General features: G+C 43.4%; 1 protein-coding gene and 1 long non-coding RNA gene across 8 annotated transcripts in view, besides 1 other annotated feature; one reads left to right on the top strand and one right to left on the bottom strand.

Moving 5' to 3' along the window:
* Nucleotides 1-27981, top strand: part of NFIB (nuclear factor I B) — a 450235-nt gene that overhangs the window by 179174 nt on the left and 243080 nt on the right. The window lies entirely within an intron of this gene.
* The window catches only part of NFIB-AS1 (NFIB antisense RNA 1), a 41478-nt gene that overhangs the window by 5661 nt on the left and 7836 nt on the right, over nt 1-27981 (bottom strand). Inside the window, exon 1 of one of the 3 annotated variants that reach the window (NR_186537.1) lies at nt 7711-7852. The exons of 1 other annotated variant lie outside the window; for it this stretch is intronic. This is a non-coding gene — a long non-coding RNA (NFIB antisense RNA 1). Of the gene's footprint in view, nt 1-5548; nt 5592-7710; nt 7853-27981 lie in introns of those variants that run through there. One more of the 3 variants, NR_186538.1, reaches the window with a different exon arrangement.
* Nucleotides 3603-4102: an enhancer, noted in NCBI's record as "H3K4me1 hESC enhancer chr9:14348801-14349300 (GRCh37/hg19 assembly coordinates)". NCBI's record gives its function as "activates a minimal SCP1, AML or CMV promoter by ChIP-STARR-seq in naive H9 embryonic stem cells {active_cell/tissue: H9 hESC(naive)}" and the evidence as "EXISTENCE:reporter gene assay evidence [ECO:0000049][PMID:30033119]".

The raw sequence follows: 27981 nt of genomic DNA, 5'->3' as shown, positions 1-27981 counted from the left end.
ACACAATGCAAACCCTCAGATGTCAAAAACGTACTCTTTCACAAAGACTCCTGAAACTCCTCTGTTCCAGAGGGAAAGGCTACAGGGTCCTTCCTATGCAGGCCTTTGAAAAGCAGCTGTATGTTTACATAGAGAGATTCCAAGTTTACACAGTCCTTTCCCTGTCTGTTATTGGAGCCTCTCAACAACGCTGAGAGATAAGCAGTGAAATCTAAAGCTTAGAGGCTTGCCTCAGGACCAGACCTAGTACAGCGTAGAAACAGCACTGAGGGCCCGGGTGACAGAGCATGGAAACACTTGCTTGTCCAATTGCACCAAGGCCTGGAAGAAATGCAGCCACCATAGAAGATCATCAGATTACATACACTGAGGGAGCCTGTGGTCTCAGGAGCCAGGCAGGGGCAGGAGGAACAGTGCAAAAGAAGCGGTGATGTCAATTCTGACCCGACTCTTCTTTTTACCTGTGGCCTCGCTCACTTCTTTATTTCCACGTTCATCTTAGCTAATGTAGAGTACCGGGAAGTGCTGAGCCCGGAGACAGGTAGCCATGGTTTGTTATCTTGGTGGTGAGCCTCCCAACTCCACACTCATAAAATAATGATAACATCTATTATATATACAAATACATCACCAAAAAAAAATGAAAAAATCAGTGTAATTCCAGGAGACGGAGCAGGGTAGGAGACTTTTACTTTCATTTTATGCTGTTTTCTATTATTTGAAGTATCTGGATTTACGCATGTGTTCCTTTTATGATTTTATTTTTAAAATTTTATTGGGGTTAATGATGCTCTTTAGCGTTGCTGCAAAGATGACTTATGTAACATATCTGGCATGGTACGTGGTCTGGTGCACAGTTGATGCTCACTCAACAGTAGTTTATTGTTAGCTATATACTTCCGTCAGAACTGTGGGCAAATGGGACCTCAAATCAAGAGACCCGGGGTCTGTGGCACACTCTGCTCTCAGATCCATGTATGCCTTTTAGTAAGTCAAGTCCCTTGGAATCTATGTAAACATAGTAGCTGCTTTTCAAAGGCCTGCATAGGAAGGAATCTGTGCCTCAGTTTCTTTATCTGTAAAGCAATGAGACACAAGCCACTTGATTTGAAAAATGGTGAGAAGGACAGGACAACATGCTCACCACCCAAAATGCCTGAGATACCTTCTAAAATTCAGTCACAGTCTTTGCAAGGGAGGCTTCTTAAGTTTGAGTTCATCAGACAGAAACTCTTTCTAGGAGAAGTTGTCATCTAGGATAGACAGAAAGGGCTGGAGATAGCTGAATAAGTTCTAAAGCAAGTACAGAAATTAAATCAGGAAACAATGTGTGAACAGTATAGGGCCATCAGCGTAGGATGGGAGGTGAGAAAAGAAGGTTTGAGGTGTTCCTTGAGTGCAGTTGGCACCACGATCATTTCCTGACAGGGGAGATGCCCTTGGTAGGCAGAAGGGGTGTGATTCAAGGTCCAGGCATCCCTGGCCCGGACACAGCCAGCCCTAGCCCAGCTCCCTAGGATGAGAGTTCTGTATGGGGCACAGGGCTGGCGCTGTTGAGACCAGGCCTCCCTAGGCAGATCCAGGAGCAGAGCTGCCCTTTGGACAAATTACTTTCGGCAAAGTCAGAAGGAACCCACTGCCCAAGAGAATTGGGCTAAAGCACCTCTGAAGTTTCTTCCAGCATAAACTTTATCTTAACAACAACCAAAAAAAGTGGGGAGACTGGACCATAGGAGGTGCAGATGCCCAAACATGATCCTCTCCCTGCTTAGCAGCTAGTCTGGGGATACCTATTTTTTATGCACTCCAACTCCTGAAAACCAACTAAAGATTTGTTCCTGGAACACACAGCTGATTCATTTCCTACGCCACTCAGAACGGGAGATTTCCCTCCGAGTCTCCTTTGCCAAAGCTTGGCCTTTGGGGGATAGGAGGCAGGTAGTCTAGTGGGTAGAAAGGTCGCGACTTTCTTTTGCCCCGCGGTCTCCTTCCTATTTAAAGCAGCACCGCCTGTCGAAACAGCTTTGTGCCAATATTTGCAGGCAGGAAGATTTTCTGACATTGTAAGGGGGTTGTTGGAAGCAGATGGGAGGCCCTTTCCCAAGGCCATCGGCAGACCAGAAATTGGTTACACCCGCACCCAGGGAGGAATCCCTAGCCCCCACTCTCACGATCAGCGCCCATAAGGTATCTGCATTTACATTTTAAAAAGAAAGAGGAATTTTTTTTGTATCTCTGAATCATCTGGCAGCGCCTGATATTATACATCTCCCCCTAAAGCCCCTGTTGTCCCTCCCTAAAGAGGAGGTCGTGTTTTCAATTCTTGAGAGATCTGGAATAACGGTATCAGAGCATGCCAACAGCTAGAAGACCCCCAACTTCCCCCCCCACCCCACCCAGGTCTTTCGCCCTATAGGAATTGGGGGCAGCGGGGGTGGCGATTTGCAGCGAGGCAAGGGCAGGTAGCAACAACTCCGACTGATCTCCAGAGGCAAAACCAAACTAAACGTAGTTCCAACCATCATGTTTTAACAAAATCTGCATTCTGTGAAAGTCTGTTTTTTTCTTAGAGAAACGCCCTTCGTTTTTAATTTTGCGTCACTTTCGCAGGCTGCCCTGAATGCCTAACCACTTGTTAAAATGCCTCTGTGCTTTGCTTTTCCGTGTGGTTCTTTTCTGTGCCCGTTTGTATCTCTAATAAGCGGCATTGTTTATTATCCTTGGGTCGGGGCCCCTGGGACTGAACCGAAATAATACAGAGGCACCGAGGCTGAGCGCTGGAAAATACTCCGGGTTTCCCAGGCCCAGGAGGGTCCCCGGGGCCGCCAAACGACCCTCCTGGGGAAAGCCCACCCGTGCGTGCGTGCCTGGTGAAGGGCAAGTTTGCACGAGTTTTTCCAGGCAGGGAGAGATCATGGGCAATCCAAAGCCCAGATGAGTGGGTATAGAAAGGGGCACACGGGGAAGGGAAATGCCACTGTGGACCGGTAATGGGGGTGTGACTTAAGAGCCAATATTGACAGGATGACTTTTTTTAAGGGAGGCGGGGGACTGCCGCGCGGGAAGCGTTCTGAGCCGTCTTTTAGCTCGAAGTCTCAACTCTCATCCCTATGCAAGAAATTGTCACTAATAAATTCTTTTTTCCGCATAGCCCATCAGTCCTCGCTGTTAAAGCGAGTATCCTAAACAAGATGAGGCTAACTTCCCTCCTTCTCCGTAGTTACCTAATATTTGCCCACATTTCGTTTTCAGCTGGGTGCTTTGTGGCCGTAGGGAATGTAAGTGCATGCCCCAGGAAATAAAGTGCCGCTGTTCCCCAGCCACAGATCAAGTCTTTTCTTCCCTTTGGACCCCAAACGAGCCCTGCTTTGGGGCTCTCCAAAATTTCGCTGCTCCCAAAACGGAGTGGGGTTCGCTATCAAAAAGCAGAAACCCGCATGGGAAACATAACGCGGAATGCCTTTGGCGTCTCGGGGAAAATTTCCCGGTTGAACCCAGTCTACGCTTCCACACCCCCTAAATTTAATGTCGGGCGGGCTCCGTTGCAGAGTTTGCCCTAAAGAAGGTTGTTAAATACGTGCCATTCTCGGGACCGTGTGCTCCTCAAATGAGACTTCCAGCCCCAGGGCCCAGCCTGAACTGTCCTTCCCACAGGTTCGCATGCGAGACCAAACCCCCACCCCGCTAGCTTCCAAAAATTCTCCCAACAGGCTACAAAGACTGCTCAAATTGTCCTCGCTAGCTTCGCTCCCCCATTCAGTTAGATTGTTTAAAAATACAGAGATCTGTTTGCTCGCAAGAGCAGAGAGTGATTTCCCTCAAGCAACTCGTGCGAGAGCTTTAGGCAGCCCCTGGGTTGCAGCGAGTCCAAGCGTCGGTGGAGTTTTCCGAATTTCAAGAAGTAGTAAAGTGAATTTCGGTACAGGGAAAAGTGCCGGGTGTTGGAGCGCAAGGTGGGGGCGGGAGCCCAGGAAGCCGCCAGGAGGTTTTTTTGTTTTTAATGTTAGACACGCATGAAGGCGCAAGCTTCGTGGTTTCCGAACTTAGAGAATCGTGCCGAGTTTGGGCCCATCTCCGCAGCCAGGGGCCCAGCACAGAGCACAGGGGGCTGTTTCCAGTTTTCAAAGAGCGAGCAGAGGCGCGGGAGCAGCTCGCTAGGCACTGCCACATGCAGCTGACTGTCCGCTGCTCCCGGCTCTTCCGCCCTCTCTCTTCGCGTGGCACCCCCAGAGCCATCCCACTGCTGCCAGTATTGCGCAGAAGAAGAAGGGTTCCAGGCGGCAGAATCCCCCAACAGGTAGTTTCACCCGGGCGCTGGCCTGGCTTAAATATCAAAGGCTGGGCCGCCTGTGCCGTGCTAAACTGGAGCCGAAGCACTGACACCTAAAGAGTCTAGGAACGAAAGCTGCGTTCTGGGAGTCACTTTAAATAACCTTGTTTTCTCTCCACCCTCCAACTTCTCCCGAAATAGCGTGAGCCCTGCCGTTTGGAACGGCGCTCAGCGAGCCTAAATAAGCTGCTTCAGGCTGTAAACTCACAGCCAATTTGGGGTCTTTTTTTTTTTTCACCCCCGGTAGTTACTACAGAACCCAACTCGGCTTTAGAGCCATAGGTATTTATTTGGGAATTGGAAAATTCCCCTCAAAGCAAAAAAGGAAAAGGGTGCGCTGCAGTTGTATGATATAATTGAATTATGCCTTCCCCTGGCGCACAGTAAGGAAAAGCGGAATGCCAGTAGGTGTGTAGAATGGGCCGCGGCGGCCTCACGCCCCAGAGGGCGCACCACATTTCCTTCCCAGGGTGCAGGGAGAACTTGGGTTGGGCGACTTCGTTCCGCCCCCAGCATAAATGCCCAGGTTAGGGCATCACAAAAACCTAGTCCTGGGTGCTCTGTCGGATCGCTAGCACCAACGTCCCCGCCAAGGACCGCGAGCGCACGTGGTGCGCGGAGACCAGACACCGCGTGCGACGCGAAACTACGCGCGTCGCTCCAAAGCTCCCTGGCGCGCGCGCGCGCTCGGCCCTTGCTGGGCGGCGGGATACTGGGACCCTCGGCGAGAGAATCTAATCCCGCCTTGGCAGATAAGACTTGCCCTCTACCGCCCTGAGCCGTCGCCGGGTAGTGATTTCTGCACGGAAAAAAAACCGCGGAACTCCTGGCCCTGCCTTGTCTGTTTCCTAAGGAAATGTCTTTTACACTCCGCACAGTCACCCGACCCCCCAGTGCCTCTGGGACCTTGGGCGGACCTGACCGAAGAGACTTGGATCTTCAACCGCCTAGGGAGCTGGCCACTCCTTCCCTTCTCCCTTCTCCCCTCTCCCAATCGCACCCAGCTCACTCCCTCCACACCCGCCCCAGCACTGTTAGCTTGCCCTGAGCCTCCGCCACTAACTGCGCTACCTAAACTTTCCAAAGAAAAGTTTTCTCGCGCTTTGCCAGCTCAAGTTTGCCCCAGCTGGCGCTGGCAGGAGGAGAAAAGGAGTCCCTCTTCCCCCTCCACCTATCCTCCTCTCCCTCCCGTCCTCTCCCTCCCCTAGGAGTCCAAACCTTGAGGGTGGGAGCGCGCGGTGGTGGAGCCCCCGAAGGCACTGACTGTGCAGGGGACGGAGTTCGTTTCTCATCCCCCACTCTCAGTGCCTCGACCGTTCCCGCCCCCTCCTCCCCCACCTCGCTTTCGGCGGGGAACTGCGGGCTTGTAGTTTAGTTTTGTTCAAATTTATTTCTCTTTTTTAAGATTTTTTTTTTTTTTTTAAGATCCCACCCTTCCCAAGCCTCGCGCGTCTGCCTGCCTTCCAGCTCCCGGCGTGGAGCTCAGGAGACGCACCCTTCGCGCCGGGCGGGTTGTCTCCCGAGTGGGGGCCAGGGGCTCCCTGGCCGCGATTTCGCTGGCCTAGTTTCGTCTCCCTAGGAGACCTAGGTCCTGTTGTGAGGCTAATTCGTGCGGGAGCTCGGCCTCACAGTAAGTGCCTCTTACCCCACCCTCACCCGAAGCTGTCGATGCAGCGGGTTTAGGGGGATGTTTGCGAGACAGCAATAGGTAGCAGTTGATAGGAGACCCTGTTCTGACGTCTTCTTGAGTTCTTTACACATACAGGTAATTAGAGATAGAAAAGATCCCCCCCTCAAGGTTCTATAACTCCTTGCGCACCGCCAGGTGACCATCACAGAAACCGCCCCAAGCTAGTTAATTTGTGGCCTATTATGTTTTTATTTTGTCTAGGATTAACGAGATTTGAGATTTTGTAGCCAAATTTACTACCCCGGGGCTTCAACTTTCAAACCAGCAAGCCAACGGGAACGTTGTGGCGAAACTGGATCTCCTTCTGCGTTGCTGGGGCGCGTGCGGGGAATAGAAACGAAATCCGTCGCCGACGGTGTGGCGTGGACTGCTGGGCCTGGGGACGCTGGGCGGGCTTTTCTGAATCCCATCGGGTTGGGCTTGAAATCGGACTTGACCCTGCCAGGGTTGTGCTCTGCGCTTAGCCTAGATTTTTCCACTTGGCCAGACGGCTCCTATCACACGTGGCAGATGACGCCCGTCCGGAGCGACGTTCCCAGGGGCAAGCGGTTTCAGGATCACCTTTACCTTTAGCTCAGGTTACGGGGGGGGGGTGTCGGTTACCTCGTGTGACTGCGGATATGAAATCTCCACCCAGAGCAAAGATGGCTACAAATCCTCTCCCCTCCGCATGAACATCAGGAGACTTGACTCCGGCGCCCACCGCAAGTCTCTTTCCAGTGCTGGGGTGAACACGTGCCCCACGCGCCCCCCGCGCCCGCGGCGCGCCCCCCTTCCCGTGGCTTAGCACAGGTCCCGCTTCTACTGTGCGCGCCGGGGATCAGGGTCGTGCCTCCTCAGCCCACAGGCGAGGCCTCCCACCCGCTAGGCTGGTCCCTGTACCACTTGGCCCATGTTGCCACCATGGCGGTGTCAGAGAAAGCCCTGCGGAGGGTCAACCAGAAAGGCAGGAAGTTTCTAGGCTCCTCGAAATGGCACCCGAGGAGAAGCAAAACCGTGCAGCGACATTCGTGGAACCCCTAAGTCATCTTTGAAAGGCCGTTTGAAGAGGGAGGGGTGTGAGGGGAGAAAAATACAGGTGAGGGGGAGGATAAAGTTATGGGTGTAAGCCGCCTCGCTTCTTAACTCTTTACCTAACCACCTTCAAGTCTGAGCGGTTGACACACTGGGCTTTTAAGTACCAAACTCCACGGAGATGGGGCAGAGGAGAAGCACCCCCAAACCCGCAGAGCTAGCCGCTGCCCGCTCTCTCCAAATGTGGCAGCCGCACTTCGGAGCGCAGAAGCACGGCTCTGATTTGCGTTTGCTTCGAAGATAAAGGATCCCGTTCACAAAGGAACCCCTGCTTCCCTTTCCCTACTCCACTCCTCTGCACCTTTCGCATAGCCTCAGACCCTTTGATTGCATTTATTTATTTTTAAGCTCCGGTACCCTAGATTTCACTGGGAGATTTTAAGGCAAGAATGGAGAAAGATGGGATTAAGAAAAAGAGCTGGCTGTGTTCTAGGGCAAGGTTAGAGAGGAATTGAAAATCGAGGGTAGATGAATTTGGGGATGTTTTAAAATTTCATTTCCCACAGAAGCTACCTCCTTTGCACTAGAACCTATTTAAATTATTGGGACAGGAGGAAGCTAGGAGTCTCCGTGGGAACAAAAAGTTAAAGGCTTTGGAGATGCCCCTTTCTCTTACCTCTACTCAAATGAATAAAAAGCAGCTCTCCTTTCAATTTAGTGACTGTACCCTTCAACACGCTCACTTCCGCCGCGAAAGTGTGTTAATGGCCAGTTCCCCCAGGGAGGCCGAGCTCAGGAGAGTGGCCCAAGACGGACTCCCAGAACCCCTGGAGCTGGGCTTTTTATTCTCTAGGATGGATGCTGGGAAGGGCCGAAGGTGGAAGCTGCAGTGCCTAGGCTGTAGGGGTGTGGGAAGAATGCCCCAACCACCCCTCTTCCTTCAAAGCCCCTCTTCTGCTGGTTATTTAAACCCTCAAGATTGTATTTCTAATCTTGATGGCTATGTTGTTCTTTTTTGAAAGTAGCAATGTATGTTGGTAGTTCTTTTAGTATGTATGCCCTTCATTTGCTTTTGTTTGTAGTTACGGATTTTTTTTCTCCTTTTTGTCTTTCCTTTCTTTACCCTGCAGTCTTGGCAACCCTGTAGGAGGAGGTTCAGTGGGGAGGATGAAATCGACCCGTTTATTCTTGTTAATCACACACAAAACAGTATAAACACTGACTCTCAATTATTAATAGGATCCTTCTATTAAAAAAACCCAGTCATTTAGGTAGAACTGGTTAGGACTGAGAAATCGATAATACTGGTGAACTAGCTTATTCTGTCCCTTTAAGAAAAAATCCATAAAGCTCTTCCATCAGCCCAGTGTCTGGGAAAGAAGCAAACTAACTGCTTGGAACAAAAGAGACAAAGAGGCCAAACAACAAAACAAACAAACAACTCCCTCTACCCCCCCCTTCTGAGACAACAATAGACTAGACACAGCAAGTGCAGTTACTGCCTGGCCCGGCTGCTCCTGTCGACCTGCCAAGTCTCCCGCATTTGGCTGGAGACTTTCTCTCTCACCCCACTCTCGCACCCCCATCACCCCCCTCTCTCGGCCCTTTCTGTCTTTCTCTCTGTGTGACTCTCTCTGTGTGTGCCTCTCTTGGGGTCTGGCTATGTATGTGTGTGTCTGTCTCTGTTGTTTTTGCTTTCACTTGATGTCGCTCTGTCTCAGGCACCTTAGTGTTTCTCTCTCTCTCTCTCTCTCTCTCTCTTTCTCTCTCTCTCTCCCTCTCTTTAAAGGTCCTCAGCATATTAGCATACTCTGGCATTTATTTACTTATTTGCTAGGCCATTTCTGTAGCATCTCCTAACTGCCTCCTCAAAACTTCTGTTTCTTCCAGTTGTCACGGTGGCCTATTTTGTATTTTGTTTGCAGCACTCTCTGCCAGGAAGATGCTGAAGTCCATTTGCACTTCAGTTTTTAACCATTCTTCATGTTCAGTTCTTTGCTCTCTTTCTATAAGGTTTCTGGCACACTTCCCCCCCCGACCCCCCCTTGTCCCCAAGCAGCCCTTTCTCTGCTTCTTGGCACTGCTTGGGACTCTCATGCATGCCTGCCCTCTTTCTCTCACTCCCTCTCTCTTGTGGCCAGCCCCCTCCTCCCTGTCTCCCAATCCAGCCTTTTTCTTCCTTTTCCCTTCTCCACCAAACTTTAATAAAATACTGTACACACTTTTGCCTGGGGATTGCTTTTCTTTATAAAGTGAACCTAAACCTTTGTAAAGTGGGAAGGGAGGAAAGGCAAGAATCCAGACTGCAGCCAGCAGAGGCTGTAGCATGGAACCAGCATCCCTGCCAACAGCCACATCCCTTTCACACTTTTTTTTAATAAACCCTTTGTAATAGCAACTCCTTCTGAAGCATCTGTGTCTGCTACAGGGAAAACCTGGCCACGTCTCTCTACTGGGCTGCAAGGGTGAGGCTGAGTATCCAATAGGGAGGGCAGCTGCAGCCTCAGTCATAAGCACTCTCCCCCGCCCCAGCCCATTTCCACCTCCTCTTAGAGAAAAATGAGAAAGTAGGGGGTTCTCTGGCACCGGGGTAGAGGTCTTCAATTCCCCTTCAAGAGAAGTATAGCATGGTTACTTGAAACGAAACTTCTCCAAGGATGGTTGACTTACAGTAACAGGGGAAATTTCAACTGTCAGAAGATTGTGGGAAAAACAGGACTAAACTGTTTATCTAAAGCAGATCTGAGAATTCCCACAGTCAGGTGGTACAGGGTTGGCAAAATGGTGGCATCCCCTCGCCACCCACTCCCCTACCCCCCCGGCCATGCTCACTAGGCAACAGAAACAGGACAAATTATTTCCGTTGGCCTCACCCCCTTTTCTTTCCCTCCTTTCTTTAATAATATACAGACAAAAACATATGAAAACAACATAAGGGGCAACTCTGAAGGGAGAAAACTCATTTAGTCTGAGAAGAGTATGAAAAACAGAAATAGGAAATGTACCCTCATTGTTTGGTTGCTTGGTGATAAGGGCAGTATGAAGAAGCATCGATGTTATAAAACACACATATGCACATGCATATACACATGTGTATATGGATGCATATTTAGTTGGTAGTGACAACTTGTCAAGAGAGGAAGGGAGGAGTTTTAAAATCAGACACACATGGTTTGAATATAATTGGCCACTTATTAGCTAGGTGACTATGTGTAGCCCGCTACACCTTCCTCACAGTTGGGGTTCTCTTTAGAACTAAGTGGCATTGCATATATGAAAAAGCCAAAAGTAATGTCTGGCATGCAGCCTGGGTTCAATAAACGAGCCTTCCTTCCCTCTTTTTCTTTCTTCCTCCCTATTTCTTTTTTCTCTTCTTTCCTTTCTTCCTTCTTTCCTTCCCTTCCCTCCTCCCTGCCTCCCGTCTTCCTTCCTTCCTTCCTTCCTTCTCATTTCACTGGCTTTTCCCCTGATCTTTCCAAAGGTGTAAGCAAAGGGAATTCATGCCACTTGCCCCAGTTTTCAGTTCCTAAGGGAAACTTTGTTGCTCCTTGAGTCCCAGTAATGAAACACTGCAGACCCTATAGTAGTCTACTCTTTCTAAGCCAAATGCTGCCTGAAATAATTTGTTCTTGGGTGGGATTATTTGGCTCCATTATTCTACCCCCTTATCTAGGTTCTTTATTTTCAAATGGTTAATGAGAGAGACCCTTACCCATAATCCAGCCATGTATACGTTTTCACAGGCCCAGAGAGCTTTTGCTCTCGGGGACATATTAAAAATTGCCCCATGGCCAAAAAGCTTAAGAAGGGAGAAACAGAAAAGAGTATGTTCCAATGAACTATTGTCCTGACCCACAACTTCCCAATTGGGAATGCTGTTTTCTTGGTATTTTGACCTTGTCAAAATGACTGATTTTTTTTTTTTTTTTTCCTCCCGAGGAGTCACTCTCTAGCTAAGCAATGTTTCTTGAGTGGGATTTTGGGCTGAGACATCAGTGCATCTGGAAGCACTCACTGATGGAGATGCCTGTCCTAGCCCGACTGTTGCTGAGATTCCCTCTCTTTCTTTGTCTTCCCCAGAAGCAGAACCAGGTTGTAACAGCAACTGGCAAGCCCGTGAGCCATGGATGAGCCCCCAGCTTCAATTGGTGGGAGAGTGAACACATAAAAAATGTTCCCACCTCAGACTTCCTTTTTCCATGGGTCTTATTGTCTATTCTACAGATACCCCATTTCCACATTTCACTGGCTTCCTGTCCTATTTTCCTGTTTTATCGGAGCCTTGGCAACCAGTGAGCGGCACTGACACTGGAGTCTGTGCTGGGGAGGTGGCCAGTCCCTCACAGTCCCTTCCCAGCACTTCTGATCCTTCTCTTTGCTTGTCTTACTACCTACCTGTTTTCATTGAGGGCCTCTGCTACTTATGACATAGATGTGGAAACCTGTTTCATCTTTCTCCCTCCTTGGGCATTCCAGTTTCCATGTGGCTCCTTTCTGTAAACTACAAAGAGAGCTGTCCATCCTTCCTGGAAGCACCCCTTCTCATTGCAGATTTCAACTCCCACGCACCAGGTACCCATGGGCAGTCCACAACCTGCACAACCAAGCACGGGTACTCTAAATTCCCCAGTTCTGACAGCTGTGAGTGCTGGTGAGCACTTAGTCATTTAGGGATGTTTCCCTCAAATGGAAAAGACCACAACGTGTGATGCCAGAAGACTAGCAGATTCTGAAGCCTTCCAAAGCCCTGTCTTGCATTCTTCTTGGGCTCTTGTCCAGGAAGAAGCTGGAGACTGTGTTTCTTTATCTTGTCTTTGACCTACATTCCTCATCTACTAAGGCTTCATTGGCATACCAATGGCAGACAGGTATTTGTTACTGCAATGGGTACAACGAGTATTAACGTATAAATAAGAACCACTACCGCCACCGCCCACCCGCTCCCACCCAACCCCGACACTGGTCAGTCCTCTGTTCTTTCCATGACTTTACTTCTAGTAGGCCAGTTTTTATACTAAGTCAGTAACTCATTTCCGGACCACCTGAGAGGTAGCCCTACTCTTAAGTTGGCACAACTGCCTACAGAGCAAAAGTTAAGTTTGGAAAAAATGCCAGGCATAAATACCACCACCAGATTAATAGATTCCAAACCACATCATTCTGAGCTGGCAATGTAATTCACATTCTGCACAACGAAAAGGTTTGAAGAGCAGCCAGTTTCCTGTTCGAGAGAAAAGTTTGCTTCTACTTGCTAAGTTACAGCCATTCTGTATGAACCCCTTCTATAGAACAAGAAACTTCTCAGTTTAGGAGTCTTTGGAAAAACATTTTATCCTCTGAGTTGGCTCCCAACCCCACTGCACATTAGAATCATCTGGGGAGCTTTAAAAAGTTACCAGTGCCTGGGCTTCTCCTCAATCCAATTAAATTAGAATTGCTACGAGTGTGGTGTGGGCATCGGTATTCTTTTTTACAAGTTCCCCTGGGCGATTCTAATGTTTAGCTAGGGTTGAGAACTCTAATTTATAGTTTAAGAGAATAGTGCCTCTTGGTGAAGAACGCCCATTCTTTTACTAAGTATGCAATGAACTCCTATTATTGGAGACAGTTTGCTGAAGACACAAAGATGAAGTCGGTAGGCACTGGGCTCCTTAAGTTAAAATGTGGTAGGAAAATGCTAATGCGCAGATCAGAACCTCTAGAAGCAAGATTGAGTGCTTCTAAGTTCTTACAAACAGCACAGGACTGAAAGTTAGAGCCCCACTTTACAATTCAGGTTCTGTCACTAACTAGAAAGGTGAACTTTGGACAACTCACTTGACCTCTTTGGGCCTCAGTCTGGTCATCTGTAAGAAGAAGTGGCTGGACTGAAAACTCTATATACTCCAGCCTTACGGTGCATTCCTAAATTCTTAGAAACCCATAAGCTTAGCCAGGCAATTACCAAATACTTTGGGAGGCTGGCTCACTTACTCCTGCATGCCACTGACGACTGTCTTTCTGATGTTTTACCAAATCCCTTTCCAAAACCCCAAGTATCAGGGTGTTAATTTTTAAATAATCCTGGGCTCCCTTAATTCTCTCCCCTAGTCTCTTACAAATTAGCAGATGAAGAGAATGGAGTAGTGGTAATGTCTATGAGCAGTGGGTAATGACTAACAGAAGTTTATCCAGTTGGATAAATGTCTAGTGGATTGCTGCTGGGGTCAGTGTTAGTTCTGGTCTTAATTAACATCTTCATTAATAGTGTGGGAGAGGGAATAAACAATAGCTAATGATATTTGCAGATGGTAGTAAATTTAGAGGTGTTGCTACTACCAGTGAGAGCAGCAAGAGCCATGGGGATATCAGAGATGTGAACAAGAAGTGATTATAATGATGTTTGTTCTGGAAAAGGCAGAATGAAATGTTTAAGGGGGAAACAACGGGGGAAATTGGGAAATGATCAAAGAATCAGCCATTCTTTTATCAAAGAATCGCCATTCTTTGTAACCTGGGTGTGCGTTTAGCAAACGAGGCAGCTAATAGTCTTACAACTTCCGTTGCACATACTGGGATGTTGTCCTGAACAACAATAATAATCACAGCAACAACAATAATAGTAATAATAGCCAACATTTTTGAGTGCTTACAATAGGTCAGACAGGGTTCCAAGTGATTTACGTGAAAGCAATTTTTGTCCCTAAAATCATGATTCAGTTCTTCTAGGCTTTTTACATTTTCTGACAGGATACTTGCTACAGATCTGCAATTTCTAGATTTGAACAAACCTGTGAGTTTCAGGGGAAACAAGAAGTTTAAAATGGGATGGCCAAGTAAAGTGGAGAATATGGTGTGTCCTCTTTTCCCAGGCTCATGAGCAGAATGTTTCCATCTTTGATTTTTCCTGTCCCCAACCTGCCTACCATCTTTTCTCTATTTAGGCAATTGCTGGGTTAACGTGATTGGTGACAGTAGACGGAAAACTATCGCAAAGGTTCAGAAAGAAAGGAAAGAAGGGAGGGGGATCCAAGGGGGGAAGGAGGGGCAGGAGAAAGGAGGAGAGGGAGATGGATAGATAGATGGATGGATGAAGGAAAAAAGTAATAACATAAAGGAAAGAGAAAGAAACAAGAATGAGGGAAGGAGGGAAGAAAGGAAGGAAGAAAAGAAGAAAAGAAGAGAAAACCCTAATGTATTACTGTGTGTCTACCACAAGTCACACGGTAGCTGAGGTGATGAGCTAGGTATATTTCACATGTTTTCTGGTTTAATCTTTGCTGATCTACTTCCCACAATGACTCTCTCCAGTATTCATTATTAGCCTTCACTTCTGTAGATAAAATAAAGGGAAGCTCAGATGTTAGGTCACTAGCTATGAACACACAGCTGATAGATTGCAAAGAGGTTCAAACTCCAGTTGTTCTACTCCTAAGCTCATTTCCTTTCCAACCGCAAATACATATTTTCTTTTCTTTTCTTTTCTTTTTTTTTTTTGAGACAGAGTCTCGCTCTGTCACCCAGGCTGGAGTGCAGTGGCGCGATCTCTGCTCACTGCAACCTCCGCCTCCCGGGTTCACGCCATTCTCCTGCCTCAGCCTCCCGAGTAGTTGAGACTACAAGCGCCCGCCACCATGCCCGGCTAATTTTTTGTATTTTTAGTAGAGATGGGGTTTCACCGTGTTAGACAGGATGGTCTCGATCTTCTGACCTTGTGATCCGCCTGCCTCGGCCTCCCAAAGTGCTGGGATTACAGGCGTGAGCCACTGCGCCCGGCTACGTATTTTCTTTTCTTTCAATTTAGCCCTGCCTGAGTTAATGGCAACATACAGCTACACATAGAGAGCCAGAAGGTAAAAATATTAAGAAAAGAATCAACACCGAGGAACAGAGGGACAAAGGGAAAGTGGCCAGTACATGCATTTACTGCCCAGTCTAATGTAATTGAATTATTTACAATTACATCTTGAAATTACAAAACATAGAATTCATAAGCAGAAAGGTTTCAAGACAATGGAACCCATAATAATATGGATTTGACCTTGAGGGAATTTGGCAGACAGCATCAGTGTCTGAAACAAAAGTAAACTGAAAAGAAAAACAGCTGAATGTATAAAAGCCAAGACTCTTCTTGGGAAGTGTGGAGCCCGAGGCCAGATGGATGCCAAAGGTCTTCAAAATGACATCAAAGGAGCTTTAGGAAGTTGGAAACGTGTGGCCTGGGCATGTGTCCCCCGCCACCCCAGTGGGGCTCCAAATGCCAACTCAGGGTTAGAAAATGAGAACTGAAATTTTAAAGTGAGGAGATGTGCACTTCCGAGTATACACATAAAATGTCTAATTCAAAGAATATAGAGTAAACACCAATGCAATAATGACCCCAAGTCAAGAAATATAACATTGCCAGGTCCGCACCCCATCACCTCCCTCTCCTGAGAGGTAACCATTATTATGATTTTTCTCACCATCATTTCCTTGCTTTTACTTTTTTATTTTGATTTCAGCACTTTTGTATGCCTGTTTTTGAACTTTACATAAATAAAATCATACTGCATGTATCCTTTTATGACTTGCTTCTTTCTTTCAACCGTGTGTTGTATATAAATAATACAATGCATTTATCCATTCTGTGGTTGAGGGAACTTTTGCTTGTTTCTCCTCTGGAGCATTTATGGACTATTCTACTGAGAACTTCTTGTATATGTTACCTTCTGCACATGTGCAGGAGTCTCCCTAGGGTAGCAGCCAGAAAACTATCACCCACAAGCCAAATAGAACCTGTTAACTGCTCTTATATGGGTTGAGAGCTACGAATGGTTTTTACATTCTGAAATGGTTGGAAGAACAAAAACAAAGAAGAATAATATCCCATGACATGGAAAAGTTTTATGAAATTCAAATTTCAGTATCCATATATAAAGTTTTATGGAAACACAGCCAGGCTCATTGTTTATATATTGTCCGTGGCCCCTTTGTGTATAACATTGGCAGAGTTGAGTAGTTGTGACGGAGAGTGTATGACCTGCAAAACCTAAAATCTGGGCATTATGGCTACAAAATGCCCAGTTTCAACTGAAAAATTCAGCAGCGCTTCTTACTTAGATAAAAAGGGAAAAAAGCACAAAATAAATAAATAAATAAATAAATAAAGTGTTTCGATGTGGTGACTGCAGAGCATTAAACCAAGCACAGGAGCTTTCTAAGCACAGGCTCTGGGCCACTGCGCAGGTCCATGCCCATGAAGCTGGTCCTGCTTAAAATATCTAGTCCTTTACAGAAAAGGCTTATGGACCGCAGCTTCAGAGCATATCTCTAGAAGTGAGATTATAAGCATCTTAGAAAAAGTGAGTTGCTATATACAAAACACCCAGCAATGCCTGGTTACTTGTAAGCATTACCATAAATAGGTGGCTCTCCTCCTTCCCACCTTCCACCTGGGTTTCCCCAGGCCCATGAGGTCAGTCTGTAGAGTCATTTTCCAAAAATGTCAGGTGCTCAGCTGGTGGTCAGTTACCATAATAGCTGATGATAATTTGGTTAAATACCACCACAATCCCACTCCCTTCAGGGCTCATACATTTATAAAAACATATCTTTGAATAAAAATGACTTTTAGGCCCAAGGGAATAAAGGAATTAAAATCCACAGGTGCTAATTGCAGCTTCATGTTGTAACATGGTCTGAGCAGATTCAAGGTTTCTTGGAGAAAACTTGTTAAAAACAAGACAAAATACCAGAAGAGTTCATCCAAAGATAATATTGAAGGCACAAATCTGGAGAACTAACACTACCTGATTTCAAGACTTCTTATAACGACACAATGGTAACTAAGACAGTGTGGAATTGACATGGATAAAGACAAATAAATCAATGAAACAGAATAGAAAAACAGAAATAGACCCACATGTATGTGGAAAACTGACTTTGGACAAAGGTTTGAACTCGATTCAGTGGGGGAAAAAAGTCTTTTCAATAGATGGTGTTGGAACAATTAAATATCCATATAAAAGTAATGAATTTTGACTCATACCTTGCACTAAATACAAAGTTTAACTGAAAATGGATTATAGATCTCAATATAAAACATAAAACTATAAAATTTCTGAAAGAAAACAGAGGGAAAAAATCTTTCATGATGTTGGATTAAGCAAAATGTCTTAGATATGAAGCCAAAAGCTCAATCCACAATTTTGACTTCATCGAACTTTAAAAATTCTGCTCTTCTAAAGAACCTGTTAGAAGACTGAAAAGCAAAACCACAGTGTGGCAGAAAATATTGCAAATCAAACATCTAATAAAGGCTTTGTATTCACAGTATACAAAAAACTTAAAAATTCAGTAAGAAAACAAACAACCCAATTTTTTAAATGGGCAAAAAGTTTTGAATACATATTTTACCAGAGAAGATATAGAAATGGCAAGTAAGCACATAAAGAGATGTTCAACGCTATTATTTATTAAGGAGACAAATACTACGGTGATAATGGGATACACTACATACTTACTAGAATGGCTAAAAATAAAAGGGCTTGATCATACTAAGTGCTGGTGAGGATGTGGAGGAATGGGAGCTCTCATACATTGCTGGTGGAATTGTGAAGTGATACAGCCACTTTTGGAAAACGGTGTTGACATTTTCTTAAAAAGTTAAACAGACACCTGCCATATCTGCCATATGCCCAGACATTCCATTGCTAGATATCTACCCAACAGAATTGAAAGTACATGTCCATACAAAGACTTGTACATGAATGTTCATAGCAGCTTTATTTGTAATAGCCAAAAATTGGAAAAAACCTAATTGTCCATCAACAGGTGACAGATAAATTATGTTATACAATACAATGGAGTACTAATGAGTAATAAAAAGAAATGAACTATTGTTACAACAACATGGATGAATATCAAAATAATTATGCTGAAAGAAAGAAGCCAGATGAAAAAGAGTACATACTGTTTGATTCCATTTACATAAAATGTTATAAAATGCAAATTAAGCTATAATGATAGAAAGTAGATCAGTGGTTGTAAGGGAGGTAGAAAAGGACAGAGGGATCACCAAGAGGCATATAAACATTTTTAGAGGTAATAGAAATGTTGCCTATCTTGATGGTGGTAATGGTTTCATGGGTGTATATGGATGTCAAAACTTATCAATTAGTACGCTTTAAACATGTGCAGTTTATTGTATGGCAGTTACACCTGAATAAACATGTTTTTTTAAAAAAAATATTGCAACATTAAAAGAGTGGAATTGTAAGCCTCAAAGTAGGAAGAGAAATCTGCAACAGATATAAACTGGCAAAGGACTCACGTGTAGAGTATACAAAGAACTCCTACAAATCAACAAGAAAAAGGTAGAAGAGTGCAAATAAAAACGGGAAAAATATTTGAACAGACATTTCAAAGAGGATATCCAAAAGGTTAATAAGCAGATGAAAAGGTGCTCAGCCTCATCAGTCATTTGAAAAATGCAAATTAAAACCACATGGAAATATTGCTATACGTTGGAATATAGTCTTGATGAAGATGTGAAGCAATTAAAACTGATATACTGCTGGTGGGAGTATAAATTACTACATCCACTTTGGAAATCCATTTGGCATTGTCTACGAAAATTTACCACAGGCATACTTTATAACTGAGAAATTCTACTCATAGGCTTATACCCCAAAAGAATGCATACATATGTGTAATAGAAAACATGTAGACAATGTTCATATCTCCATTATTTATATTGGCCTCAAACTGGAAACAACCCAAGGTTTGTTGGGTACAGAATAGATAAACTGTGCTGTATGCATACAATAGAATTCCATACTGCAATGTGGAAACAACAAAACAAAACACGGTTACCTGCAATCGCAGAGAGGAATGTCACATGAAAGGCTGAACGAAATAATTCAGACATAACAGTAAATATTGTATGCTTTTTCTTATGTAAAGTTCAAAACCAGGCAGTACAAGTTTGTATTGTTAGAAATCAGTACAGCGGTTGTCTTTGGGAAGAATATTAGGGCTAGTAATTTGCTGAGATTGGGAGACGGTTTCTGCATTGCCAATAATTTTTCATCTCTTAAGATGTATGGTGGTGACATGGAAAATACATTTAGCTATACACTCGTGATGTATACTTTCCTAGATACACATTATATAGAAGGTTGTTCTTCTCGGTGTTATATAATATTCAATGGTATGACCACACGACAATTTCTTTTTCGAAAGCACAGGAAGAGAGACAAGGCAGTCACTTAGGTCTTACTTTTTAGGGATCCAAAGACTTAGGCCAAGGCTGCTGAAGTGACTCTTTTCAGTGACTAAGTTTTGACCAGGCTATAGTGTGGAGTAGTTGAACTATAAAGGTGCCCATGATATGTCTCCCCATTAGGGAGTTGTGGGGCCTAGAATGAGCCCTAAGGGAAGGAGAAGAGATTTTAAGGGTGGGTACAAGCCACTCTGTTGAGTGGGAGGATGAGGAAAGAGGGGTGAAGAAAAAGTCTGCTTATAATTCATGGCTAAGAGCTAAGGCTCTAGAACCACATTTCCTAGGTTCAAATCCTGCCTCTGATACCTGCAAGCTATTGACCTTGGGTGATTTATTTATTCTCTATGCACACAAATCTTCTCATCTGTAAAACAAGAGACAAGATTACACCTGTAATATAGGATTATTAGGAGGATCAAATGAGATAATGTATTTCATAAGTGTTGTGAAAGTGAGCATAAGCCAGAGTGAAAGGGCATACATCTCTCAAAGCATTCAGGCTTGCAGGGTGCTGCCAAGGAGAGACCAAGGTGGTTCCAGATCAGCTGCCAAAGCTCTACAATAGCGTTCCTTGGAGGCTGCTCTATCCTGTCTCCTCTCTAGATACCCCTGAATACCCCTGATTGACTGTAGGCTGTAGAAAGGCTTTGCACACTTCTCATTTCCTTCTTTTGATAAAAGCCTTCCTGCAAGACTTCTAGAATTATCAGACCACCCTTCCGACCTCATTGAACAGACTGGCAAGCTCATGGCCTCAGAACAACAGCACACAAGCTCTATGTTTCTGTTAGCTATAGCCTCATTTTCCCCTCCCACTCCCCATCCGTCTCTCTCCTCCACACTAGAATATCACTGGTTTTGTTCGTACTGTATTTCCTGGGCACAGCAGGCATTCACTTGTTGCCTGATAAGTGACGACGTCTTCTTCAATAGATGACTAACACTCTTTGTGTTGGTAGGTTCTGATATGTTCTCAATTCTTAGCATTTGGGCAGCATCATTCAATGCCTGTCACCAAAGCACCTTTTGGACACTGCTCCGGTCCTCACTGCTCCCGTCTCAACTTGAGCACAGGGCGTGGCACAGGGGAGGTGCTCCATAAATATTTATGAACATGCAGTTGCTCAAGATGCTGTTAAATTTCTTACCTTTCTAGGAAAAACCTAAAAGCAACCTTGAGATAAAACTGCCCCCCAGAAACTTCAAACTACAACACAGTCTACTTTATATCCATCTCTCTTGGCATCAGGGAGCTAGGGAGATTCTTCTTGTGTGTTTTTTTTTTTTTTTTTTTTGACGGAGTCTCGCTCTGTTGCCCAGGCTGGAGTGCAGTGGCACGATCTCTGCTGACTGCAACCTCTGCCTCCCAGGTTCAAGCGATTCTCCTGCCTCAGCCTCCCGAATAGCTGGGATTACAGGCGCCCACCACGACGCCCAGTTAGTTTTTGTATTTTTAGTAGAGACGGGGTTTCACCATGTTGGCCAGGCTGGTCTCTAACTCCTGACTTCAAGTGATCCACCAGCTTCGGCTTCCTAAAGTGCTGGCATTACAGGTGTGAGCCACCCCACCTGGCTTCCTCTTGGTTTTTAAACTATAATTGCAAATAAATGCTATCACAGGCCTAGGGGCACTCAGAGAGGCTTGGAGTCTGGTCATTGTCGCAGACCATATCTATTCTTGTTTATCATCTCTCACCCTATTTGAAGAACGAGGACAAAGAAAAGTAATAATCGATATATAGATTCAGAAAATATTTATTGAGAAAGGACTATGTTTCAGAAACAGTCCTACATATTTTGACAAATGAAAAATTTTGATCCCCAAACAACCACACTGAAGCAGGCATGATTTTCGAAGGTAAGGGAATCGTGGTTAAGAATCATTACCTGCCTTGTCCAGAGTCACATAGCCTTTGCGTGGCTAAGTCAGGATTTGAACCCAAAAAGTCAATGCCTCCAGGTCCAAGTTGAAAGCCTATATTCCATTACTTTCAGAACATACTGGAGAATGAATATAACCTTCTTACATTGACATGCCTCGTTTTCAACCCAAACTGGTTTACCCAGCTTGATAAGTTCTTTAATCCCCACAGGGTATTGAATGAATCCTGGCTATATCCAAAACTTAAATCCACACTCAAAGGAGGAAGATCTACCCTATTGATAATATTTAGAAGAATGTGCCTGGGGTTTAAAAGGCAATTTCAAAAGAAGAGTGATAAAAATGCTTTGAGGCATAGTGGAAAGCCTCCAAGGCAAGTCCTGTGACTGGGCCCCATTCATCTAGTAGTTTCATGTCCTTGCTGCATAAACTATTAAGCTATGGCAACGGGCTTGGGAATTAGAATGACCTGGATCATGAATGCTCTGACCTTCAATTGGTTACTCAGTCTTTCCAAACCTCCAGTGCCTCGTCTTTAAAAGAGCTTAGATGAAATACAGTACTGAGCACAGGGCGGAAGCATAGTGAGACCTCAGTAAATAGTAATTATTATCACTTGTCTTGATGGTACTTTTAATCTAAAGTTGGGAGAAACCATTGCCCCAGGGAGGCCTTGCTTAATTAAAGTGCTGCCATTGGCCTAAATTGGTCACAGAAGAGAAGATCCGGCTGGTAGGTAGTCACTTAAAATGCCCCCGAAAAAGCTTGCATATCTAGACCTCGGGGAAACTCAGTACAGAGGGGCTGGACTCCTATATATGAAGTAGAGAGCCCAAGCTGCCCAATTAACAGGGTGCTTTCATTAGAATATGGGCCATTAAGATCACATCTATGAATGAGCCTGGAGCCTGATTGAATATGGACCTCTTCTTCACCCACCAAGAGAGTAACTGTAGACTCAACATGTACATAATGTACGAGCTTCTCAATTATTCACCGTGTTGACTCTGTGGCACTCTATGTGTGTCCTCAGGTCTACCTCCATTTGGGAGCAAAACCTAGAGAGTGGTGTTCTGTCTAAAAAAACAAAGCACTGCAAGTACAAACTACACAGGATGCTTATGATGATGAAATGGCAGTGATTGTCATCAAATCCCATTTTCTAGGCAAATTTCTAAGAATTTTACAACAGACATGGATCATCATTCTTAGATGGTATACATTTGTTATTTTCATAGAATGGATTTATTAAAACACGGTTAAAAACTATTTAAAAAACGTTTTTCAAAACTTTTCAAAATCTTAAAATCATTTAAAAAAAAATGCTTGGTTGCACCATGTGTTCTGATTTAGTGATCGGAAAATATGGTCTCTGTACAGAGGGAATCTTTATATTTTTTAGGATGATGATTCTCTACTAGGGTCTTAGCACATGATCACATTTCTGTGAGGTATGTCAGATAAGAATATTATAAAGTATTTAACTTTTTAGTTAGGTACTTCCTTTATCAATTAGAGCATATTTGATGTTATCCCCATAAAGTGATCATCCTCCCTCACTTGCATTCTGTTACTGGTTTTCGTTTGTTTGTTTCTTTGTTTTCTGTTTTGTTTTTTGAGACGGAGTCTCTCTCTGTGGCCCAGGCTGGAGTGCAGTGGCGCGATCTTGGCTCACTTCAACCTCTGCCTCCAGGGTTCAAGTGATTCTCCTGCCTCAGCTTCCCGAGTAGCTGAGACTACAGGCCTGTGCCACCACCCACGCCCAGCTAATTTTTTGTATTTTTAGTAGAGACGGGGTTTCACCGTATTAGCCAGGATGGTCTTGATCTCCTGACCTCGTGATCCGCCTGCCTCAGCCTCCCAAAGTGCTGGGATTACAGGCGTGAGCCACTGTGCCCGGCCTGTTACTGGGTTTTTAATAAGAGAAAGATGGCTGGGCGTGGTGGCTCACGCCTATAATCCCAGCACTTTGGGAGGCTGAGGCGGGTGGATCATGAGGTCAGGAGTTGGAGACCAGCCTGGGCAATATGGTGAAACTCCATCTCTACTAAAAATACAAAAATTGGCCAGGCATGGTGGTACGCACCTGTAGTCTCAGCTGCTCGGGAGGCTGAGGCAGAAGAATTGCTTGAACCTGGGAGGTGGAGGTTGCAGTGAGCCGAGGTTGCGCCACTGCACTCCAGCCTGGGTGACAGAGTGAGACTCCGTCTTAAAAAAGAAAAAAAGAAAAAGAGAAAGACAAGGAGTCACTCACTGTGAGTGGGCCCAGGATTTGCAGGGGGGTCAGGTGTTTGGCATGTGGACATCAAATGTTAATTATGACCTGGAGCATAAAAGGTGATGAGTGGCTATCCTGGGACATTTCAGTCTATAAAGGAGCTTGTGGTCACAGTAGTTATGGTGAGGCTGCTCATACTGGCACACAGAAGCCCCTTCCCCACATGCTCTGAAAAAAACATTAATACAAAGAGTGCTTGTTTAGAGTCAGGAGGTGTCCTTTAGGATGCTGGCACTGCAACTAACTAGCTTAGCAGCCATAAGTAAGTCACTTTACCTCTCTGAACTTTGTTTTTCATCTATAAGAAGAGCATTTGATCTAGATCAAGAACTGTACACTTAGGGGTATAGAAAGCAAGTCAGAAATCTAAGTGAGGAAAGCAGGCCAATATGATACAAGAAGGGGCAAAGGGGACTGTGGAGACCAAGCCCCATCTAAAGGGGGCAGTTGCTACTCCACTCCAAACTCTTCGTGTTATGTGCAACACTTGCCCAAAAAGTCTCACCTTCCACTTTTTCAAAAAAAGCAAAATATCTAGATTTTTCAACAAAATATATCAAGTTTTAAATGTTAACAGTAAATATCAACATTACAAATTTAGGAGGGAAAAAACAAAAGTTGGTTCCAGTTTTGTTTCTTAATCTCTTATCTACAGGTCTCAAAAGTCTCTTTTAATTTTAACAACTTTACAATTCTGTGACCATTTGTCACTAATTTCACAATTTTGTGACCATTCACTAATATCAACAATACAAATAGAAAATTAAGTGGAAAAATTATGAAATGAAATTATATTCATTTTAAGATTATAACTATGCAATCATATATATATATATTACATATAAGCAGATACCAGATATATGCACATGAAACAAATTTTTTAGGTGATGGGACTGTGGGTGGATATCTTTTTTATCTTGTTAATTGTTCATTTAAAGTATCTCTACTATTGTTCATATAACCAAAAAAAATTAAAGATAATGGTTAAAATATATATATATATTAAGGGCAGCTCAGGGCCCCATGCCATGGCTCACGCCTATAATAATCCTAGCACTTTGGGAGGCTGAGGCAGGAAGACCACTTGAGCCCAGGAGTTTGAGACCAGACTAGGCAACATGGTTACATCCCATCTCTACAAAAAAATGTAAAAAATTAGCCAGGCATGGTGGTGCACACCTGTGGTGGCAGCTACTCAGGAGGCTGAGGTGGGAGGATCCCTTGGGTCTGGAGGTCAAGGATGTAGTGAGCCCTGATAGCACCACTGCACTCCAGGTTTGGTGACAGAGTAAGACCTTATCACAAAAGAAAAAAAGGCGGGGAGCAATTCAGAAGGTGCCAGATATGAAGAGAAAAAAGCAGAGGCAGTGACTTTAGGTATGTTCCTAAAACTTGTATTTCTATTCTGACCTCCATATTTGCTTGTCAATCATCCTCGAACAAAAAGTTGGTAAAAGAAAGCAGTACTGGTTGGGTGCTAGGTAAATTCTATGTGCCTGAATTTTTCCATCTACCACTGCTCCCTTCTCTCTTCTTCTGTTTACAAAAATATTTCTCACATCATGAACCATAGTGGTATCAAAATTTTCCCAACTTTGTTTGTTTGACTTTTGAATATATTATAGGAGGGTTTTGTTTTGGTTTGTTTTGTTTTAGTGGATGAAGTGGGATGAGAAGGGCAGCTGACTTATCATCCCTAATTACATTTTTCTTTGGTTTCTATATGAACACTATTTTCATTCTACAAGCCCACATCAGCTGCTTGCAAAGTGAGCAGAAAACCACAGGTTGTTATTTAGAGTTTATTTGAAGGTTTTCAAAACACCCCATGGGAAGGCTACTCTTTTCTAAACAAATTTGGAGGAAAATATTAGCACAACAGAATAGAAGGCCTTCATATCACGAATGCAGAGATCCTCAAAAACCTATCTATACTTGTATGGCAGCACCCAGCCCAAGGTCCAGACCCATGCTAAGCATGCAATGTGTGTTTGTAGTAGGAATGAATTCCTCCTCTACTCCCTGGGCTGCACCTACGATTTCTTACTTACGGAATATAGACACAAAATATAGTTATTGATCTTCTTTAAGTAAAAGGCAACTTGAAATGATATCAACATGTTCTAGATATGCCAACAGGAATCTGTGACACTGGGGACATTTGGCCACAGGATTTGAATATAGGGGAATTAACATTGACTTTCTTTTGAATGTGGCCTCACTGAGCAAAAGGCAGGATGGTCTTTTGCCAGGACTATACTGAAGGATCAGTAGACTGTCTAGCGCTTTCGTGCATCCTGTTGCCTCACTAATTTCTGGATTGCCAGATGCCTCTGTTTTTTGAAAATGGTTAAAAAAAAAATACCTTAGTAATTCTGTTGTTTCAGAAACCTTAATATGGCATAAAATATCCTGAAATTTTTTGCAGAAAACACTTGCTTTTTTATGCTCAATTTAATCATTATAGCTGAAATTGATTCCAATTTATTGTTTTCTTTTTAAGGGCATTTTGATGGTTGAAATTCTAAAGTTGCACAAAAGTGTGAGTAAGCAAGATAGGAAGATTAATTGCTCATAGTATTTTTATAAGTCTTAAAAACATAAATAGGCTAAGAAATCGTTGATACTTCAAACTGAGAATTCATAACAATTGCAATAAACATTATTTTTTAAAGCTAGAAGGCATCCTGGATTTACCACTGTTGAATCAGAGAGCAGATTTTTCACACATTGAGTCATAACTGCAGGCTTTTTTTTTTTTTTTTTTCTGTAAACCACTTTAACCTGCTCTTGAAAACCTCTGGTTGGTGCATGGAATAAGTCTGAGTCTGTCTCTATTTAGCTTGTGAAATTTAACAAGGCCATAGCCGGGGGTTGGTAAGGCTATGAGCCATACCACCATCTCAGGTTTTTGATGACACCACAAACCACTTGAGATTTATTATGTTAGAAGATGTCATCAGATCTATGTGTGCACAGGTGCAGCATGTAGTTAGTGAAAGAAGGAACACTGCATGTGTATATTTATTTTTGTACCCATACTCTCAATGGTTAGAAAATGACCCAGTGTGCCTGTCCTGGGCAGTGTGGTGTTTCAACTCCACTGCAGATGCCTATCTTGTAATTTCTTGAAGTCTTTTCCACAAATATAATTCTTTATGATGGGCGACTATGTCTTGTAGGAATGGTATCGCATTTGTTTTTACCATCAATATCTAAAGAAGAGGCATAATGAATTACAGCTGAAGAGTGCTATAACCAATGAATAATACAAATTATTACCATGACTTGTTATTTATGCCTGGGTTTTCCTCTTACAGGACAATACACTAGACATGCACTCTCCTCTCCTGAATAAAAGTAGTGCAGGGACAGCTCTCATCTAATGAAATCTGACAAAATGCCAACATTTGGCACTTTATAAATGTCCTAATTTAAGCCTCCCTATTTTTATATAATTAGGAAATATTTAAAACTATTGCCTGAGGCAATAAAAAATATGAATCTTTCCAAATTTATATTAAAAATACAATATGCATTTTAAATTCTAAAAATAGTTATCCAATTGTTTTAAAAGAATGTGTTTATATGTTCATATTCAAAAATACATTATGTATTTTTTAAATTCTAAAAATATTATTTTTCAATATCCAATTGTTTTAAAAGATGGTATATGTTTTATTTAGTATTGCATCCTAAATATGCCACTATCTTTATTACATACTTTAAATTTGCACAAATTCTGGTATAATAATGGACTAAATATAAAAATCTAATAAACCAGTGTGTACCCTTTAATAATATAAAAATCATAGAAATTAAAACACACTTTCTCTATTTTTGAGAAATAGAAAAGTAAGACAAAATAAACACCTTTGGGGTAATGACTCAAAATTACTGGTTTAGATGGGGTAGAGGAATTACTTCAATTATGATATAAAGCATTGTAATAATGCAAGCCTTTTAGAAATAATTATATAGTGATTATTCTCAAAGATAAATATACACAGATGTTGCTAGTACATTTTTAAAATTCTTAATTTGAAGACAACATACAGAAACTGCATTACCAGTTAATTGGCTTTAGGAAGAAGCAGAAAAATCTTAACTGCAAGTGTATTTGTGAAGCTTCTGGTAAGTTCTATGGAATGAATTGTGCCTGCAACTTAAGGCAGAAAAAAATGTCATTTAAAAACACTGGAATCACTCAGTTAGATGTGCCAGAGGCCCAAAATGCTTAACTAGTGTTGGACAGTGCTATTTTTAAAAAATGAATAATTATTTATAATTTATAACAAAAGATTAATATAAAAAGATACTGGACCTTAATTATATTCTTAGAAAGGCTTTCAACCAAGATAATTTTCATTTAAAAAGGAGCATCTATTTCAAAACACTTCTCAGTTTTTTGCATATTTATTTACATTGCAAAATATAAAAACCAGAAAAGCAGGCGACGTTGTAGATTAAAAGACCATAACTATTTACCAATTAAAAAATTTAGAAGCAACAACACGTTGAGGTAACTAAAAATTAGCAAGAC

Source organism: Homo sapiens, chromosome 9 (assembly GCF_000001405.40).
Source record: "Homo sapiens chromosome 9, GRCh38.p14 Primary Assembly".
Classification (NCBI taxonomy): domain Eukaryota; kingdom Metazoa; phylum Chordata; class Mammalia; order Primates; family Hominidae; genus Homo; species Homo sapiens.
This window is presented reverse-complemented; position numbering and strand designations above follow the sequence as displayed.